Genomic DNA, 19,738 nt, shown 5'->3' on the forward strand with positions numbered 1-19,738 from the left:
CTTCACAGCATAAACAATGGAAGCCAGAAGACAATGGAATATTTTTTTAATTATAAATTTTTATGTAAGTAATATTGCAATAAAATATTTAGTTCTTACCAGCTCTGAGTTTATTGGAAACTCTGTTCTGTTTCTCAGCCTCTAAATCTCCTCTTCCAGAATTGGTAACGCCCTGGGAAGAAACAAACCCAACTGCCAGATTCAGCTCTCTAAGATTTCTTCCTTTCCAAGATTTTGGGCCCATGATTCATTCACCGCATTTTTGTCTCTGCGGGTCTTTGAAGAAGGTGTTTTATTTGTTCAGCTTTTCCCTAATCTATCATTAGAAGTTGAACAACTCCTGCATCTCTTTGGGGGAGAGTAAAGGGGAATGGAGTTCTTGCTCATTCACTCAGGCTGGAGTGCAGTGGTATGATCATAATTCACTGCAGCCTCAAACTCCTGGCTCAATTGATCCAGTCTCAGCCTCCCAAGTAGCTGGGGCTGCAGGTACACACCACCACACCTGGCTTCCTGAATCTTTATACATAATTAACAATTTTATGCTAAAATTGGTAATTTGATCGCCTCAGACATAATTATGTAAAATCTGTCTATTCAAAATCTGGAGTACCTGTGGGTATCTTTCTGTCAACTATATATTTGTTCTCGTTCTTGTTTTATTGTGTACCTGATTGTTCATGGAGTATTTGGTGGAAGTAATGATTTCAGAGTCATTTGAGACTTATGATAATGTTAACTTCCTCTGGAAAGGGTTTGTGTTTGCTTAAGATACCTGGGGGCCTAGAAGGCCAGGCCTAGAAGCTGTTAAAAGCACTCTATTCAGTCATTCAGCTTCCTCTTCTGGAATTGGCAAATGATCCAGAGGAAAAACTTCCCTAAAGCTAATCTCACCGCTCTGAATTGATATATTCTCTAATCTTAACCCATTAATTCCTTAATGCTCTATGTGATCTTAATATCCTCACGCTTTTTTATTTTCTGTGGGAAAGTTGGTCTAAATTACTTGGTCTTTTTTTCATGTGAAGTGGGTGTCATCATATAACTTTTTATAAAGCAGTCATTACTGTTAAGTTCTCAAGCCTTACTAATACAAAATTTATGAAAGGCAGCATGGGAATAGTAAAACACCGCAGGCCTGGTTACTGAACAAACCTGGGTTTAAGTCATGACTCAACTGTTTACCAATTATTAACTTACTGATTTCTGTGATTCTCAGTTGTCTCTCATACACACACAGACACACACACATCAAATCAAATCATAGAATGGCTGTAAGACTGTGGGTTAAAATATGTAAAATCCTTAACAAAAACGGGGCTTTGTACAAGTACTTAACTGTGTGTTACCCACTACTCTCTTCTTGTACCCCCACTTCTATACCTACCCCATAATATTTATCTTGCTCAAAGTTTGAACTTCTCCTTTTTATTTCCCTCAGGTGATTCTAGTCACAAGATTCCTATTTCAAATTTTGAACGTGGGCATAACCAAGCAACTGTGTTACAAAACCTTTATAGATTTATTCATCCCAACCCAGGGAACTGGCCACCTATCTACTGCAAGGTAATTTCAGGTTAAGAAGTTCTTTTAAGGTATCAATTTATAGTACCAAAAGATCCATAAAACAAAGAATTTTTGCCTGTGTATTTTTGTCTGTATATTGTGTGTCTTAAAACACACTCATTTTGAATTGTTTTGAATGTAATTAGGTATAGTGCCTATTTTAAAAATGTCTCCAATTTTGGAGGGATTTTGAAGACTGCAAAAGCTAAACATATATCTATTTTGGTAGAGTTCATGTTCTCTGAGTTCTTCTTTCTGAAATATCTACAGTATCTTTTTACCCTTAAGAATGGATGCTCCATTCTATTCCGTACACCTATCTTTCGAAACAAGAATACCTTTTCTTCAAAACTGTCTTTGTAGCAATCCCTTCCTTCTTTGTTTGTAATATTTAGAGAGATTATATTCTTCCAGGCTTGGAGTTGAAAAGTTGGGTTTTAACCTTGCTACTTAGTATAACCGTGAAGTGATTATCTGATCTTTTTCTGAACATTGGTTTCTTCATTTGCATACCCTAGGTCTCTCTTGCTTCTCATAAAGTATCTTAACATTTCTGTATAAATGTAACTGACTAATAATAGCTGTAGTCTTTTCTAATATATGTCAATTTTTTATAGTTTTCATTTCATTGGCACAAACTCCTCAGTCTTTCTCCTGTGCCCCCTACCTCCCAACCCCCACATTTTGAAAGGACAGCATTAGAAGTCATTCAAAGTAGGAGAAGATACAAGTAGTTTTTTTGTTTTGTTTTTTGTTTTTTGCTTTCTCCAGTCTGATGATAGAACCAGAGTCAACTGGTGTTTGAAGCATATGGCAAAGGCATCAGGTAAGTAAAACTCTGGGTTGCTGCAGAAGTGCTTTATAGTTAATATCTGTATTTGTTTCCACTTTGATATCTTCCAGGTATCTAAATTTACTAATTGTATGTGTTTTTCCATTTACTAATGGAAGAAATCAGGCAAGATCTACAACTTCTCACTGTAGAGGACCTTGTAGTGGGGATCTACCAACAAAAATTTCTCAAGGAGCCCTCTAAGACTTGGATTCGAAGCCTCCTAGATGTGGCCATGTGGGATTATTCTAGCAACACAAGGTATTGCTAGCATTTTTGTTTTAGAGTCATTTTGACTTATTTTCTAGACTGAGAAAATATGGTAGGACTATTTTTGCCTTTTTATGCAATATTTTCCCATGAAAGCTTGGAATCATTGTATTTCCCTGAATATAAAATTTCATTGATAGTAAGATATATTGTTACTTGTGTATCACTAAAAACAAACCTGCCAAATAAACTGTTCTTTCTTATCACTTAGAATTTCTATACTGATGAGAGAATATCCCTAAATTTATTTAGACAGATTTTTATTACATAGAACTCTTGTACTTACATGTAAAAGAATATATAAGTGAAATAAATTGGCAAAAGTATTTTTTATTTTGAGATAATTTTAGACTTACAGAAAAGTTGCAAAAATAACACAAAGTTTACTATTCTCTGTTTCCTTAATTGCTAACATTTTAATACATTTTCTTTATAATTTTGTTTCTAAATATATATACACTTTTTCAAAACCACTTGAGGGTAAGTTGCTATCATTATGCCTCTTTATACCTAAATACTTCAATATGTGTTTCCTAAGAATAAGAATGTTTAGTCTACGGCCATAGCACCCTGAACACACCTGATCTTGTCTGATCTCACAAGCTAAGCAGGGATTGGCCTGGTTAGTACTTAGATGAGAGACTGCCTGGGAATACTGGGTGCTGTAGGCTTTTACTGTGTGAGTGCGTGCGTGTGTGTGTGTGTATAGAACATTTATATTACCATAGTGTAATGATCAAAATCAGGAATGTTGAATATAGGACACAATACTATTATCTAATCCGAAGACCATATTCATATTGTATTAGTTATTCCACTGTGTCTTTTACAGCCAAAAAAATTCTAGAGTCCAGTCCAAGACCACATGTTGCACTTAGTTATTATATCTCTTTAATCTGGAACAGTTCTTCAGTCTTATTTTCACTTTCATGATCTGGACATTTTTGAGTACAGGCCAGTTACTTTATAGAATGTTTCTCACTTTTAGTTGATCTGTATTTCCTCATGGTTAAATTGAGATTATGCATTTTTGGCAGGAATACCACAGAAGGGATTATGTGACTGACTGCTCAGTGTGTCATATCTGGAGGTATATGATGTCAGTTTGTCCAATTACTGATGATGATAACTTTGATCACTTGTTTAATATAGTACCTATCAATATTTCTCTATTGGAAAGTTACTGGTTTTTTACTATATATATATATATATATATATATATATATATATACATTTTTTTTTTTTTTGAGACAGAGTCTTGCTGTATCACCTAGGCTGGAGTGCAGTAGTGTAATCTCAGCTCACTGCACCCTCCACCTCCCAGGTTCAAGTGATTCTCGTGCCTCAGCCTCTCGAGTAGTTGGGATTACAGGCACCCGCCACCATGCCCAGCTAATTTTTGTATTTTTAGTAGAGATGTGGTTTCACCATGTTGGCCAGGCTGATCTTGAACTCCTCACCTCACGTGATCCACCCGCCTCAGCCTCCCAAAGTGCTGGGATTACATGCGTGAGCCACTGCTCCCAGCTTTTTACCATATAATTAATAAATATTTTGTGGGGAAATACTTTCAAATTGGGTAGGTATTCTCTTCCTCAAACTTTCATATACAAATTTTAGTATCAAGTGCTGATTTTTGCCTGAGTCAATTATTACTATCATTGTGAAAGGTGATTTTTCTAATTTGATTGTTCCTTCTGCATTTATTGGTTGGCATTCCACTGTAAAAAAAAAAAAAGTTTCTCCTTTTTACCCATTTATTTATTTTTTTCATTTATATGAGCATGGACTCATGGATTCCTATTCAGTACATTTTAATCTATTATTGTAATTTATTTTTATGATCAAATTGTTCCATATATGGCCAGTGGGAGTACCTTCAAGCAGGGGTTTGTGTGTCCTTTTGACATTGCTTCATTGCTTTCTATCTAACAGTGCTTCTTTGCTTTCTATTTGGCACAATATGTTCCAGGCCTATCTTGTACTTTCTTTGTTCCAGCCCTGGATTAGCCATTTCTCCCAAGAATCTCTGGTTTCTTTTAGTGGAGCATAACAGTTAGGAGATAGAATCTGGGTGGTAGGTGTGCTCATTTCTTACTAGAGTATCATTGATTCTAGATCCCCTTAGTAGAGAGCTAGGAAATATATGTTTGTGTGTGTGTGTGTGTGTGTGTGTGTGTGTGTGTGTGTGTATGTACACACACACTCCATATACATCTGTTTGTAGCTAGGTCTCTCAATCTTTTTATCCATCTCTATCTTATCATGAGTTCACACTTAACCTGTAATTTCAATCCAATACCATAGAGTTCTCTAGTTTTTTTACTTTTTAAAAAATTTCCTTTCTCTGAGAATGAGAACCCTGGCTGTCAGTATTTTTTAGAATTATATGGTACCACTATTTTTAAAAAAAGACATACAACTGTTTAGAGTTTGTTTATAATCGCTTTTAGTCTGAAAGTATATAGTCAAAATACTTTGTTCAGAAGTTATTTAGGTTCTTTTTTCCCCTTTCAGTACAAATTACTCTTTTGAAATATATTAATAGTTAAGTTCGTTTGCTTGTTTGTATTCCATTTTTGCTAATTTAGCTTTTGAATGTCTAAAGCATTTCCGTTTTGTAAACAAAAATAATATTCAGAAGTGTCACTTTATTCTAGCTTCATTAAAAAAAGCTTGTTAGGATTGCATTAAATTTATAAATTAACTTGGGGATAACTGAAATATTTATATTGTTGAGTTGTTTCCAAAGACTAGGGACATCTTTCCATTGTTCAAATCTACTTTTGTGTCTTTCAAATATGTTTTAAAATTTTTCTCACACAGATTGTGCATCTCTGGGACTGGCGCATTTTTGTAGGAGCAGTTCCTTGATAACTTTTTCTGTTCTTCTATGGAAATTGGTTTTATTAGGCTTTCTAATTTTAATGGGGTAAATTTTGGTAATCTGTATGTTTCTAGAAAATGATACATGTTATATAGCTTTTCAAAGTTATTTGTTTAAAGATCTGCAAGGAAGTGTGGTCTCTTAAAATTTTTTTAAATTTCATCTGTTTCAATGGTTATCTTGTCATTGTATATTTGTGCTCTCTCATTTTTTTGTAAGCAAATGTGTTGTCTTTTTTAATTTTTCAAAACAATAGGATTTTAATTTATTAGACCTGTTTTTCTATTCTCTTCCTAATTAATTTTTGCTGTTACTCTCTTTGTATGTTGTTGTTCTTTTTCTAGTTTTGGGGGCTGGAAATGTAATTTATCTTTTGCCTGATTTTTTTGATGTGTTTAGTAGAGTGAATTTTCTCTTAATCATTGTTTTCAATGAATTTACGTAGATTATTGCATGCAATATTTTCATTGCCATTTTAAATAAATTATGTCATTTTAACTCTCAGCCACCATCTCTTTAAAACAAGGCTTTTAAATGTCCAGGTGAAAAGGACTTTCTGCATTTTGTTTCTTTTAGTAAATTCCAGTGTTTTTACATTGTGATCAGAAAGTGTTTATAATATTTTTACTTTATGGAAGTTACTGGTCTTTGGGGTTTTTTTGCTGACTTAATATATAATCAATTTTTGTGACTGTTCTCTTGGCATATGAGAATATACTTTCTTTTCAGGATATAGCATTTGAGATCCACACACATACATCATCTACATTAATTGTATTGTTTACATTTTCTTTAGGTATATTTTATCCAGTTGATATGTCTTGTGTTGACAGTAATCTCCTATTATTACTGTGTTTCTGTCTGTGTTTCATTGCATTTCCTGTAGTTGTAAGCTGGCTGCTGTGATATTTGATGCCTTAAAAGTTAAAGTTTGCTGAACCTTGATACAGTAAATTGATCAGGGGCTCATGGAAGAGTATTCCCTGTGTTCTTGCATGTTTAAAACTTTTTCTAATGGTGTACACCATATTTCCTTGAGTTTCTAGAAAATGCAACTTCATTTCATGGCTTTGTGTGTTCCTTTTGTGAAATTTGGTCAGTTAATTTTCTTGGCCTTAGTTATCTGATCTTTTTGACTGGAGTTAGTTGATCATTTTGCCTGGAGACTTTAGTCTTTTTTCATTTTTAAAGTCTAATACTGTTACTAGGCTATTTCTCTGAGTTTATATGCAGGTCCATTTTCTAAGACATTTGGTGAGCCCTTTCAATATGCAGAATCAGGTTCTATTTCTGGAGATTTTTTTTTTTTTTAGATCATAGTTTAATGTTAGTTTTGTTCCACTGTCTAATGTTTCTTCTTAAAAGGAGTCCAATATATATGTATGTTTGATCTTCTTTGCCTTTCATTTTAATCACTTTTTCTGACCCTTTTTACTTTGTTTATTCTCATGATAGTTTCTGCTTTCTTCAGTTTCTCTTATTAACTTTACAAATGAATCTGTTCAGCCTTGGGCAGTTGGTAATTTAGTTCTTTTCTGTAATGTTTTTGTCTTTTTTTTCCCCTCTCTTTCTTGAGTTAAGTAATTTCTTCATTTTTTGTTTATTTCTGTTTCTAGTTTTGAAGTTTCTCATTCAGGGTGTGTTTTTATATTCTCACATTCTTTTTGAGGATATTTAATTTAACATGGAATGGTAATTGATATACTTTGGCTCTATGTCCCCACCCAAATCTCACCTCGAATTGTAATCCCTATGACCCCCATGTGTCAAGGGTTGGACCAGGTGGAGGTAACTGGATCATGGCGGTTCCCCCATGCTGTTCTCATGAGATCTGATGGATTTAATAAGCATCTGGCATTTCCCCTGTTTGCACTCATTCCATTCTGCTGCCTTGTGAAGAAGGTGGCTGCTTCTCCTTTGCCTTTCCCATGATTATAAATTTCCTGAGGCCTCCCCACCAATGCAAATCTGTGAGTCAGTTAAACCTCTTTCCTTTATAAATTACCCAGTCTCAAATATTACTTCACAGCAGTGTGAGAACAGACTAATACAGTAATGTTAGGTTTTTCCCCTCCTTCATGTTTTTTTGGGGGGTGGGGGTATGAGAAATTATCAGCTAAAGTGTTTTGATTCTCCTTTTCTGTTTTCTTTTCTTTTCTTTTCTTTTTTTTAAAGAGAGTCTTGCTCTGTCACCCCAGCCGGAATACAGTGACACAATCATAGCTCACTGCAGCCTGGAACTCCTAGAGTCAAGCAGTCCTCATGCCTCAGTCTCCTGAGTAGCTGGTACTACAGGCATGTGCCACCATGCGTACCTAGTTATTTTTCATTTGTCGTGGAGACAGAGTCTTGCTGTGTTGCCCAGGCTGGTGTCGAACTTCTGGCCTCAAGTGATCTTCCTGCCTCAGCCTTCCAAATTGCTGGGATTACAGGTGCAAGCCATTATGCCTGGCTATTTTGTTCTTATAATAGCTTGTTTTCTTCCCATAATAGCTTTCTGTAGATGAAGATACATTGCTCCTTTGCGTTTCTTGGACAAGGCTGATAATTTAGCGGGAGGTTTGATTGAGAGTCTTTTTTCCAAGAACCTTCCTCTCTGTCAATGTGACAAAGTACAGGTTCTTTAATGAATGTTTTCAGGGTGGTGGGAGTGTGGTTGTAGGTTCTTAGAATTTTATTTCCTGCATGATCTTAAATTTCCCCCTTTGCTTTTTTTTTTCTACCTAATTTCTAAAGGGCCCTTCCCCCTTCCTCTTTCACTTAGCATGGCACTTGCCTATAGTCAGTGCTCTGATCTACTAGGACTGTTTGAATATTTACGTAAAGAATGGGCTTCCTCATTGTAAGAATGATTTTAATTTAATCTTAGGCTCTCCATTTTCTTTCTTCCTTCCCCAAGTTTTTTCTGGACTCTACTGCATATAAAGGTTGGGGTAGGAGATTGAGAAATTGCTCCATTGGAAATTACAGTTTTCATTTTTCTATTTATAGACAACTGAGTTTTGTAGTGTTCTTCTAGTTATGCTGTAGGTGTAGATTTTGTTTTCCCCACGTTTGTTGTTGTTGTTCTTGTTAATCTGTAAAGCTTATGGATGATGTGTTAAGATATTTGGATTTATGTACCATTACCTCAGTTACAGGCTGAAGTATTTCTAAAATTTCACATTGAGTCATTCATTGTCCATGTTTTTATACATTATTGTCCTCTGTGCCATTAAGAGTGTTGGCGATACAGCATTTCTTAAAAAAGAACTCCACTGTTGTCTCTGGGGTTTTCTTCTAAGCATATCCTTTCTGCAAGTTTTGATGCCAGTTCTTTCTTGATCTTTTCAGAAGAGGTCAAAAGAAAGTTTTCAGGGACAAACTAATATGTCCTCAAATAATCTTTAAATGGTTTATTGACTAAAATGTTGAAGGATTGCAAATGTCTGGTTACCATCAAGATTAATAATTAAATTTGTACATGGTTAGGCAATGGCAACTATTTCTAGACTGTCAAATAGACATTGTGCAATACCTTCAATTGTAAGATGCATTCTAATTTTGGTTAAAATGTCAAGAAAATGTGTTTTATAATTGAAGAAATACAGTGTTGAGTTCAGCAGAGTAGCTATACTCTACAACAAGACTAGAGTAGCTCTAGTTTGAGACATTATTTGAGGTCCATGCCGTGGGATTTTGTTAAAGGTAAAACTCTTACATAGTACTGTAGGCACTTTACTAAACTTCTTTGGACAGGATGGATCTACTTTTTATTGAGCTTCATAACATAATAAGATTCAAATGTATGATATTTTACAAGGGAGTTTGGATTGTAGTATACAATAGAAACTGTTAGAATCTGTTAATATAAGCAAATGAAACTTATTCCAACCACTGCTCTTAAATGCTTACTAAAAGACCTTAAAGTTTGTAATAAATTTGTGATAAATGTTTTGTCTAGTTCTAAGAGAAATGGGTAGATTTTGTATTGGTGAAATTGAGTACAGTTAGGCAAATTGAATATTAGAATCTTAAGTAAACAGTCTGTTGATAACATGCATTTTGGAGGCTAGAATATTTATAATTTTTATAGGTCCCCTAGTCTCCTGATGCTTCTTGTCATAATTCTTCTTGGACTAATTCACTGTCTATGATCAGCTGACTAAACATGGCAGCCTTTATTTAATCAACAAATATTTATTGAGCACCTCCTCTGTGCCAGAAGATGATCCAAAGGTGAGCAGAATTAATGTGGTCCCTGCCTTCAAGAAGCTAACAGTTAAGTAGGAAAGAAACATACAGTACATAATAAAGAAAATGGTAATTTTAGCTTTTGATAAGTGCTAAGAAGAAAATCAACAAGACACTCTGACAGAGAAGAATGTATAGAAAAGTAGACCACTTTATAGAATGGTCAAGAAGAATTTGAGGGTGTGACATTAGAACCGAAGTGGGAGAAAGATGCAGCCATGCAAAAAATGGTAAGAAGAGCACCCTGGACAGAGATAGAAAAGCCTTGAGGTAAAGGCTTGGTGTTTGCTAGAAATTGTTAGACAATCAGTGTGACTGGGGAGTAATGAGTGAAGAGGAGAATGCACAAGATGAGGTTGAAGCAGTTGGGGGTCATAAACCATTAGAAAAAGTTTTAAACGTGCAAGAACACAGGGAGAGATGGAAAGGAATAGGTTGATTTAAGATAGGTTAAAGTCAGTAGACCTTGCTGATGGACTGGACCCAGGGAGAGAAAACAGAAAGAAATAATGAAAGATGACACCCAGGTTTCTGGTGTATACTATTGGATAGATGAGGAGGAGAGGAGCAAGGTTACAGTGTTCTGAGGTCCTGGTGAGGCATCACATCTGGAGATAGCAGGCAAGCAACTGTCGTCCTGCTAGAGCTCAGTGAAGCGGTTTGGGTAGTGTCAGCATTCTTTTCACTATGTGCTGGGCACTGAAGATACAGTACAGGAAGACAAGTCTTCTGCCTTGATGGACCTCACAGCACGTAGATGAGATCACCTCGGCAAACAGCAGAAAGAGAAGAGGACTCGGCACAAGCCCTGACGAGCTCTGACAAGTTAAAATGTGGGCAGAGGCTTTTCAAAGTCTCAGTACCTCTCAGCCTGTAAGTGTTCCTATGTTATACAAATCATCATAGCCATCATCAGTGTCGATGAGGGTTGAAGACATGAGAAAAACTGGGATTCTGGATGTAATAATTTCATAAATCTCTGTGAAGTATTTGGTCTTCTTTACCACTCTGCAAAGTGCTCTGTCTTTCTACACAATCTTCTATATCCTGTTAGGGCTATTAGTTTGCTTTTGTTCCCTGGATTATCTCATTCTTCTGGATTGTGAGTTGTGGTCTCCCTGTTTTGTTCTTTTTCATGTTGCAGGCTTTTCTTGAATGCCTGATTATCCTTGATTGCATTCATATTTAGAAATGAGGCTACAAAGCCGAGTGTTCCATATTGTTCAGTGGGGATTGTTAACTGATGAGGCTTTCCTGTAAGGAAAGCAGACAAGAGAGATGTTTAGTTGGAGGCAAAATCCTAAATGCTAGAATATGAAAGGCTTTGCTCTAAGGTACCAGCAGCCATTCTTGCTGCCTGGTTTTCCAAGAACAGTTTACTTTTTTTCATGGGGGTTCTGGGAAGTAGACTATTCTTTTTACAGAAGTTCAGCCTCATGTCTTCTCTTTCTGCTCTGAGTAGAGACATGTTCACAAGTCCAGAGCCTCTCCAGAGTTCTGATAGGCAGACTTTCTTCTGCTGCTAGCCTCTTGAGCACTGAAGACTGTGACTTCTTTCCAGCTTCATCAGTTACCATTTATTTTATTTGCCACAGATTTGTTAAAATGTCTTCTATGGAGGCCTCTTCCTGCTTTTTTCCTTTATTGTGGACATGTACCATTTTTATTCTTTGCCTGTCATCTTCACAGCGTCTTGGGACCAAGAAGAGATAAATTTGTGCAGGTGTTTAATTCACCATCTTGAACCAGAAACCCCAGCAATAGTAGTATTAAGAGATGCAGTTTTATACTTTATCACTTTAGAATAGTTTTTCTTAGTCCATTTTAATGAGCTTTTGATACTTAGCAGGATTGGAGCTGCTCTTGTACATAAGGCACTTGTATGGGAAAGTTTCTGTGGGAAATATGGGAGTGACACGATCATCCTTGGCCTCAGAATCTCCTGTCCAATAAGACTCTAGTGTGAAGATACTAGTCATGTATGGTAAATTCTGGTAGAATTCCAAAAGAGTTTCAAAAAGTTATGAAAAATCATATGCAGAAGACATCACTTAAGTGTTGTTAGGGTTTAAAAACTGTTAACTAATATATGGAATAAATGTTTTATTTGTTTCTTCTGTGAAGATAGAATTTCTTAGAGCAGAGATTTGGGTTGAAAGGGGGGACCTTTCCAATAAAAAATGGCCTGAATAGTGACTCAGAGAAATGAAAGCCTGCCAGGCGCAGTGGCTCATGCCTGTAATCCCAGCACTATGGGAGGCCAACGTGGGTGGATCACCTGAGGTCAGCAGTTCGAGACCAGCCTGGATAACATGGTGAAACCCTGTCTCTACTAAAAATACAAAAATTAGCCAGGCATGATGGCACATGCTTGTAATCCCAGCTACTCAAGAGGCTGAGGCACGAGTTATCATTTGAACCCTGGAGGTGGAGGTTGCAGTGAGCAGAGATCGCGCCTCATAGCTAAATATGAACACAATCAAGGATAATCAGGCATTCAAGAAAAGCCTGCAACATGAAAAAGAACAAAACAGGGAGACCACAACTCCCAATCCAGAAGAATGAGATAATCCAGGGAACAAAAGCAAACTAATAGCTCTAACAGGATACAGAAGAGTGTATAGAAAGGCAGAGTACTTTAGAGAGTACTATGCCCAGCCAGTTTAGAGTTTTTTTGTTTTCTTAATTTTTATTTTTTGCCGGTACATAGTATGTTTATATAACTTAACTTTTGTTTTAATCTAAGGCTTCATGTTACAGTTTTGTGAACTACCACATTTATAGGCTCACTTTTCTTTGGAAAAACAGTGGGAAATTCTTAATTTTATTTTTAAGTAGTCTTCCATTCATCCATGCATGAAATAACTTTCATCCAGTGCAAATAATGGACTTTTTACACTGTTTAGTGTGTTTATAATTTTAAATGAAGACTTTTGCTAAGTTTAGGCAAGCTTTGTATTGTACAAGTAGAGCTGCTCTGAGTCTTAATAGACTGTGTACTCATTGGAAAGATATACACAAGTTTATAACAGCTCTTGTCATGAAAGTGTGCTATTTTAGTGTTTGTAACCTTGTATTGACTTACACAAATTATTTCCGTCATTTCCTCACCAACATCACCTCCTGAGATCTCCACTGAAACACCACCTTCTCAGTGTTACCTTTCATTGACACTTTATCTAAAATGTTGTTCCTCTCCAATATTTTATATTATCTTTTTATTTTTAAATAAAGTTCTATCCTTAGAACTTTCCCAATTTTCCAATTTACTGTGTATTATGCTTGCATATCTTTCTTGATCTGTCTTTCCCTCTAGAAAGTAAGTTTTGTGTGGACAATAATTTCTATTTTTTCAATACTGTATTTCTAGTGCCTACCACAAGGCCTAGAAAATAGTGTACATTGAATAAATGTTTGTTGAATGAGTGCATTTTGTCACTAATGTGCCAGAAGCACTCATTTTATTTCAAGGTAAAATTTGACTGTATGGTTATGTGTAGGTTGCGTAGTATCATGAATTTGTATCAGAGAATGTAGCATTAAAATCTGTTTTTTAAAAATCTTTGTGTTAAATTTGAAGTTTTAGTCTTCAAGTAACCTCATTTTTTAAAAGATTTCAGATAGAAATCTGGCATATAAAAACCTTTAAGCAGTGCTACTTCAGTTAGGATATTAAAGTCCATTTTTTTGTACAGGTGCAAGTGGCATGAAGAAAATGATATTCTCTTCTGTGCTTTAGCTGTTTGCAAGAAGATTGCGTAAGTTGGGGAAAGGAGTTTCTTCATAATACTGTATTCTGATTAAATTATTCTGTGCCGTTTTGCTTGCTATAGCTTTGGCAATCGGGGTAACTCTGTTTCCACAATGCTCTTTCAAAACAAAGGGGGTCAAATCAAAACTACAGTGAGATATTATCTCACCCTGGTTTAAAATGGCTTATATCCAAAAGACAGGCAATAATAAATGCTGGTAAGGTTGTGGAGAAAAGGGAACCCTCATACACTGTTGGTGGGATGTAAGTTAATATAACCACTATGGGGAACAGTTTGGACGTTCTCCAAAAAACTAAAAATAGAGCTACCGTTATGATCCAGCACTTCTACTGCTGGGTATATCCCCAAAGAAACGAAATACATTGAAGAAATATCTACACTCCCATGTTTGTTGCAGCATTGTTTACAATAGCCAAGATTTGGAAGCAACCTAAGTATCCATCAGCAGATGAATGGATAAAGAAAATGTGGTACTTATACACAATAGAGTACTATTCAGCCATTAAAAAAATGAGATTCAGTCATTTGCAACAACATAGATGGAACTAGAGGTCATTATGTTAAGTGAAATAAGCCAGGCACAGGAAAATAAACATCTCATGTGCTCACTTATTTGTGGAATCTAAAAATCAAAACAATTGAACCCATGGAGATAGAGAGTAGAAGGAATGATTACTAGAGGCTAGGAAGGGTACTAGAGGGGTGAGGGGGAAGTGAAGATTGTTAATTAGTACAAAAAATGGTTTGAATGAATAAGGCCTAGTATTTGATAGCACAACAGAGTGACTATAGTCAATAATAATTTAATTGTACATTTGAAAATAACTAAAAGAGAATCATTGGATTGTTTATAATACAAAGGATGAATACTTGAATGGATGGATATACCACCTTCCATGATGCGATTACTACACATTGCATGCTTGTATCAAAACATCTTATGTACCCCATAAATATATGCACCTACTATGTACTCATAAAAAATAAAAATAAAGGTGGTTTTGTACATCATATTACTTTTATTTTCTATCCATGTCACCTCTCCTAGCAATATGGGTGAACCTTCAGAACCACTTCCTTATTGGGGTACTCTAACACATAGGTCTTTTGTTCTCGTTTTGTAGTGAAAGTACCGGGAGCCCCAGATAACCTGGGTGCTCTGGTAGCCCAGTGGGTGATATTAGTTCACAGGATAGATTAGTGTTTATGGTTGTAGTGTTATTTCTGCCGCTGCCCTCTCCTTGCCTTAAACATTTGGGAATCCTGGTAATCTTTATCTTCATTGCCATGCCCTTAAAATGAACCTAAAATTTTATCTGGCAATCAAAAGATTGCTTAGCAGTAATAACCTGTTTTATTATATGTATTGCTATTTATTTATATGTCTTCTCTGAATCTCCAAATTTATTTTTTCCCAGTTTATAACAGTACCTCAGATGCTTTCTTTTTGTTAGAGATTTTAAAATACAAATACTTTTAGTTGAATTAAATTAGATTCTGATAGTGAGATTTTTATTTCTTTTAAAGGTACTGCATCAGTAATTCTCTGGCCACTCTCTTTGGAATCCAGCTCACAGAGGCTCATGTACCACTACAAGATTATGAGGCCAGCAATAGTGTGACACCCAAAATGGTTGTATTGGATGCAGGGCGTTACCAGGTAAGGAACTGACTTTTAAGAGCTGCTGGTCTCTTTAGCTGTTCTACTCAATGTGATTCTGGCCAACAGAAACAAAAGATCAGCCTTTGTTTGGTTCTTTCCCTCCCCTTAAACATTATTTTGAAGTACTTCATGGAATGTCAAACAGTTCCTAATCCAGTTGTGTCTTGTGTAAAATTCTTTTTTCTCTGGTATATTTCCTACCAATTTAACAAAGTTTTAAGAAAGTTAAAACTGGTATTTAATCTTTATGTAAAACATTTCCAAAGATTTATTCCAAAAATTAAATATCTGAATGTAAGTAATATAAATATTCTAAACATCTACCTCAAAAATATTTAAGACCTGATTTAGGATTTGATTAAAAGCTATCTAATTTCTCTACCACCTTCCTTCCCTCCCTGCCGTTTACTTATTAGTAGGCCTCTAAACCACTAAGTGCATAGCAGTTAAGAGTATGGGCTCTAGGGTCAGAATTCCTGAATTTTATTTTAGGTTCTGCTACATACAAGTTTTGTGACTTTATGCACAATACTTGAACTGTCTGTACTAATTTTTTATGTATTAAACAAGAACAATAATAGGGGCTAGTATTTGTTAGGATTAAATGCAGCAATATATGACAGTACCAAGGCCTCCCTGCCTTAGAGCTTAATAGATAATAAATGTTGTTATTTTAAAATAAACACTTACTGAAAAGGAAACTCAAAAAATGGCATGAACTACTGATGAAAACAGCTAGATTCATCCTAGTTAATTATGCTGAACAAAAGAAGCAGTCTCCAAAATTACGTACTTTAGAATATACTGTATGATTCCATTCATATGACATTTTTTTGAAGACTAAACTATAACAAGAACAAATTAGTGGTTCCCAGGAGTTAGGGGTGGGAACAGGGTGTCTGTAAAGGGATTGAGCATGAGAGAGGTTTTTGAGGTGATAGAATGGCTCTGTATCCTGATTGTGGTGTTTACACAATTCTGTACATACATTAAACTTCATAGATGTGTACACCAAAAAAAGTTTTACTGTATGATAATTTAAAAATAAAAACGGAAGGACTTCAGAGCTCTCCATATGTACTCTGGGCAAGACCCTTCTCTACCCTCCCTTTAAACCTTTTGCCCAGTGGTTCTCGACTCCATTTGTGTCCTCCATGGGACATCTGACAAAGCCTGGGGACATTTTTGGTTGTCACATCTGGGGAGGGGGTGCCCCTGGCATTTAGTGGATAAAGGCCAGGAATGCTGTTAAGCACTCTATCTATACAGGACAGCCTTCCACAACAAAGCATTTTCCAGCCTAAAATATCATTAGTGCCCAGGTTGAGAAACCCTACCTTAGCTTCATCACCACTATCTGTGTTCACATCATCAGAATTAATCTCAATAATGTGCCTTTTCATTGTTTATATCAGTTACTATAGGAAGCCTAGGACTCTCAGATTCTCTCTCATCTCCCAGACTCACCTTATTTGGCTGGTCCTATTTCCCAGCCCTTCCCAACTCCTGAGAAACCTTCCTGTGGGTTTTCTCAGCCTTAGTTATCAGCAAAATTTCAGGTATCTTCAGTTTCTTTGGGGCAAAGTCTATTTACCTTCTTGGTTCTAACTAAAACTTGACCCTCCTCTAAGGACACTGCTTCTCTATTAACCTTTTCAAATGGTGACATCTTTTGCTTCTTCATGTGTCATAGGGCCTAGATTTGAAGTAGTTGTCCTTGATCGTGGCCTCCAGACTTCTTTATATAGTCTCCCCAAAATTCCTAGGCATTGAATTTCCTGTTATCCAGGATGTAGTACCTTTTTGGAGTCAGTAGACTCCAAATGGCCTCTTTTTGGAGTCAGTAGACTCCTGAGTTGGTTCCCCTCATTCTTAGAGCAACACCAATCCAGAAAACTGGTTTTTCCATCAGAATTATTTATTTCAATTTCCCTACACATAGTCCTTCCAGCTGCCTAACCTCTCAGTTTGATTTCCTCTCCTTCAATAATCTTGTCTTCTACCTAACAATCATATCCTGGACCCCAGTGGTACCTCCTTCATAATCTCAATTTCAAACATCCCCCTCTCAGACTACCACCATCTTCTACTACCCCTGTGCTAACAATTATTTAGTCTCTACTGGGATATACAATTCATTTATGCCTCCACTGTTTTATACTCCCTTACAGGGCCACTTCATTGCACAACTCCAGGACACCATTCACACTAGTAATGCTGTAGACTCATGTCTCCTCCTTTACCACCTTTGTCTCTACTCTTCACCTCCTTCCTTCCCAACTCAGATTCCTTGGCCTATCTTTTCCACTGCCTTGCATGCACTGTCAACTCCATTGGCCCTCTTTTTTTCCTCATACTTGACAGATACTAACCCTGATTACATGTAACTCTTCACCTACTCTCCTCCTATGCCTGTGACACTAAATGCGGCTGGAAAGGAACTACCACGCTGACCGATCTTACTGACTATTCATCACCACCAACTTCAAGGGGCCTTTATTGTTGCCTGACATACCCATTTCTCTAGTCTGATTAATTTCCTACTCTCCTAGACAGTTATTTCTCACCACCTTTTTCCTTCAGATTTCATCATCTCTTCCCTCACCTTTGCTCTAGCTGATTCCTTTGCCTCCTACTTCTCTGAGAAAATAGAAACAGTTGGGAGAGATTTTCTACATATTCCTACCACTCATCTACGTGCATCTACCATATTCTCTGCTTTACTCCTATTTTAATGAATGAATTTTCTGTGTTCCTATCTAAAACCAATCTGTCTGCTTGTATATTAGATTTCCTTCCCTTACCACTCAAGGACATGGCTTCAGTAATTTTCCCCTCCTGTATCATCAGGGATTCCCTCTGTTCTAATTCATTATCAGCAAACGTGCTATAATCTCACTTTTAAAAAAAAAGGCAAACCCTTTTTTGCCCTATACTTCGTAATCTCCCTCCAAAGTCTATCCTATTTTCTCCCCCTTTGCAGCAAAAATTGATAAGACATTGGAAAAGTATTTGAGTGTTAGTTTGCATTTTTAAAGAGTAATATGAAATTGAAGACAGACCATCCAGTAATGAATAAGAAATAAACATTTTTCCCCCTGGTATTTTCCTGTTACTTACAGAAGCTAAGGGTTGGGAGTTCAGGATTCTCTCATTTCAACTCTTCTAATGAGGAACAAAGATCAAACACACCCATTGGTAAGCAACTTATATTTTACAAAAATGCACCTAAAGGATGTTAGAGCCTATTACTAAGATCCCAGGTGTGGTATTTAAACAGTGATATCTAAATTAGCTTTAGGATATAAGAAGCTTGTTGAATTGAGGGTTTTATTTGGCATTAGCACCTTAAACAATTTAGATGTGTACATTTTTGGGTCACTTGGATACATTGTAACTTCTCAGAATTTGTTAGGGCATTTAAAAGAAAACCTGTTTTTCTTGTAGCAGCAATAGCTTTATAGTTTTGATTTTAATGGTATCTTTTGTGGGGTGAGAAACTTTAAAAGCTAGTGACATGAAATTTCAAGTGGTACCTAAAGAACTTCAATTAAAAGTTTCCTGGGCTAAAAACAAAAACATTTTTCTGTTGAATTATGGCTTAGTGAAAGGCCTACAGTAGGATGAGTCAGTTAATTGAGGCATCTCTTTGTAATAAAATTATAAAATTGCTATATCTCTTTTCTTGTATTTTCAATATCCTAGGTGACTACCCATCTAGGGCAAAAATTTCTGGCCAAAACAGCAGCGTTCGGGGAAGAGGAATTACCCGCTTACTAGAGAGCATTTCCAATTCTTCCAGCAATATCCACAAATTCTCCAACTGTGACACTTCACTCTCACCTTACATGTCCCAAAAAGATGGATACAAATCTTTCTCTTCCTTATCTTAATGATGGTACTCTTTTCAATTTCTGAAAACAGTAACAGGCCCAACTTCCTTCTTACTACAGTCATATTAAACAGATCACATCAATGACAAATGTCACTACTATAAAAACTACTTAATTTGTAAGGAAATTGTTTCATAGATTTAAAAAAATTGTGGTTGGAGAGCATCTTGGCATTTGTGCTTTTTTTCTTGAGGGATTGTTCTGCTTCCTGGCTGTATGATGGGTATATCATTAAAGTTTGGAGTCCTATATGAACAAAACTGACATTTTTAGAGTTGTACTTTTGGGAATGTTATAGATTGATCATTCTTTCTCCTGATAATAAAGGTATTGAATATCTGTTATGAAAGGTTCTAAAATAGTGTTAATCTGTTTCTTCCTGTCATGAAATGGGAACCTTACACTGGAGACCTGCAGGCTGTCTTTATTGCAAATAACTAAGAAAATTAGCCTTTAACAGACACAGAATTTTGCTACCTTAAAAAGTTTTTGAAATATACTTACTTTGGCAAAAGAAGGCACTTGAAAGATGCGAAGGCAAAATTAGAAAGGTTAAGTAATTTACCCTAAATCACATCACATGGCTAGATATTGAATGAATTTCTCATCCATTGGACTGCA

The 19,738-nt window shown here is 36.0% G+C and overlaps 1 protein-coding gene and 1 pseudogene across 6 annotated transcripts in view; both read left to right on the forward strand.

Annotated features, from left to right (window-relative positions):
* MAEL (maelstrom spermatogenic transposon silencer) overlaps nt 1–19,476 on the forward strand; it is a 46,633-nt gene extending 27,157 nt beyond the window's left edge. For all 6 annotated transcript variants that reach the window (NM_001286378.2, XM_011510068.2, XM_006711583.2 and 3 more), the window contains 7 exons: nt 1,442–1,566; nt 2,338–2,392; nt 2,518–2,659; nt 13,484–13,546; nt 15,089–15,221; nt 18,347–18,422; nt 18,930–19,476. In NM_001286378.2, the coding sequence (NP_001273307.1) occupies nt 1,442–1,566; nt 2,338–2,392; nt 2,518–2,659; nt 13,484–13,546; nt 15,089–15,221; nt 18,347–18,422; nt 18,930–19,117 (782 nt within the window). In that variant the 3' untranslated portion in view covers nt 19,118–19,476. The remainder of the gene's footprint in view (nt 1–1,441; nt 1,567–2,337; nt 2,393–2,517; nt 2,660–13,483; nt 13,547–15,088; nt 15,222–18,346; nt 18,423–18,929) is intronic.
* Nucleotides 3,221–3,339, forward strand: RNA5SP65 (RNA, 5S ribosomal pseudogene 65; annotated as a pseudogene).
* Nucleotides 19,477–19,738: the final 262 nt, after the last annotated feature.

This window comes from Homo sapiens, chromosome 1 (genome assembly GCF_000001405.40).
Source record: "Homo sapiens chromosome 1, GRCh38.p14 Primary Assembly".
Lineage (NCBI taxonomy): Eukaryota > Metazoa > Chordata > Mammalia > Primates > Hominidae > Homo > Homo sapiens.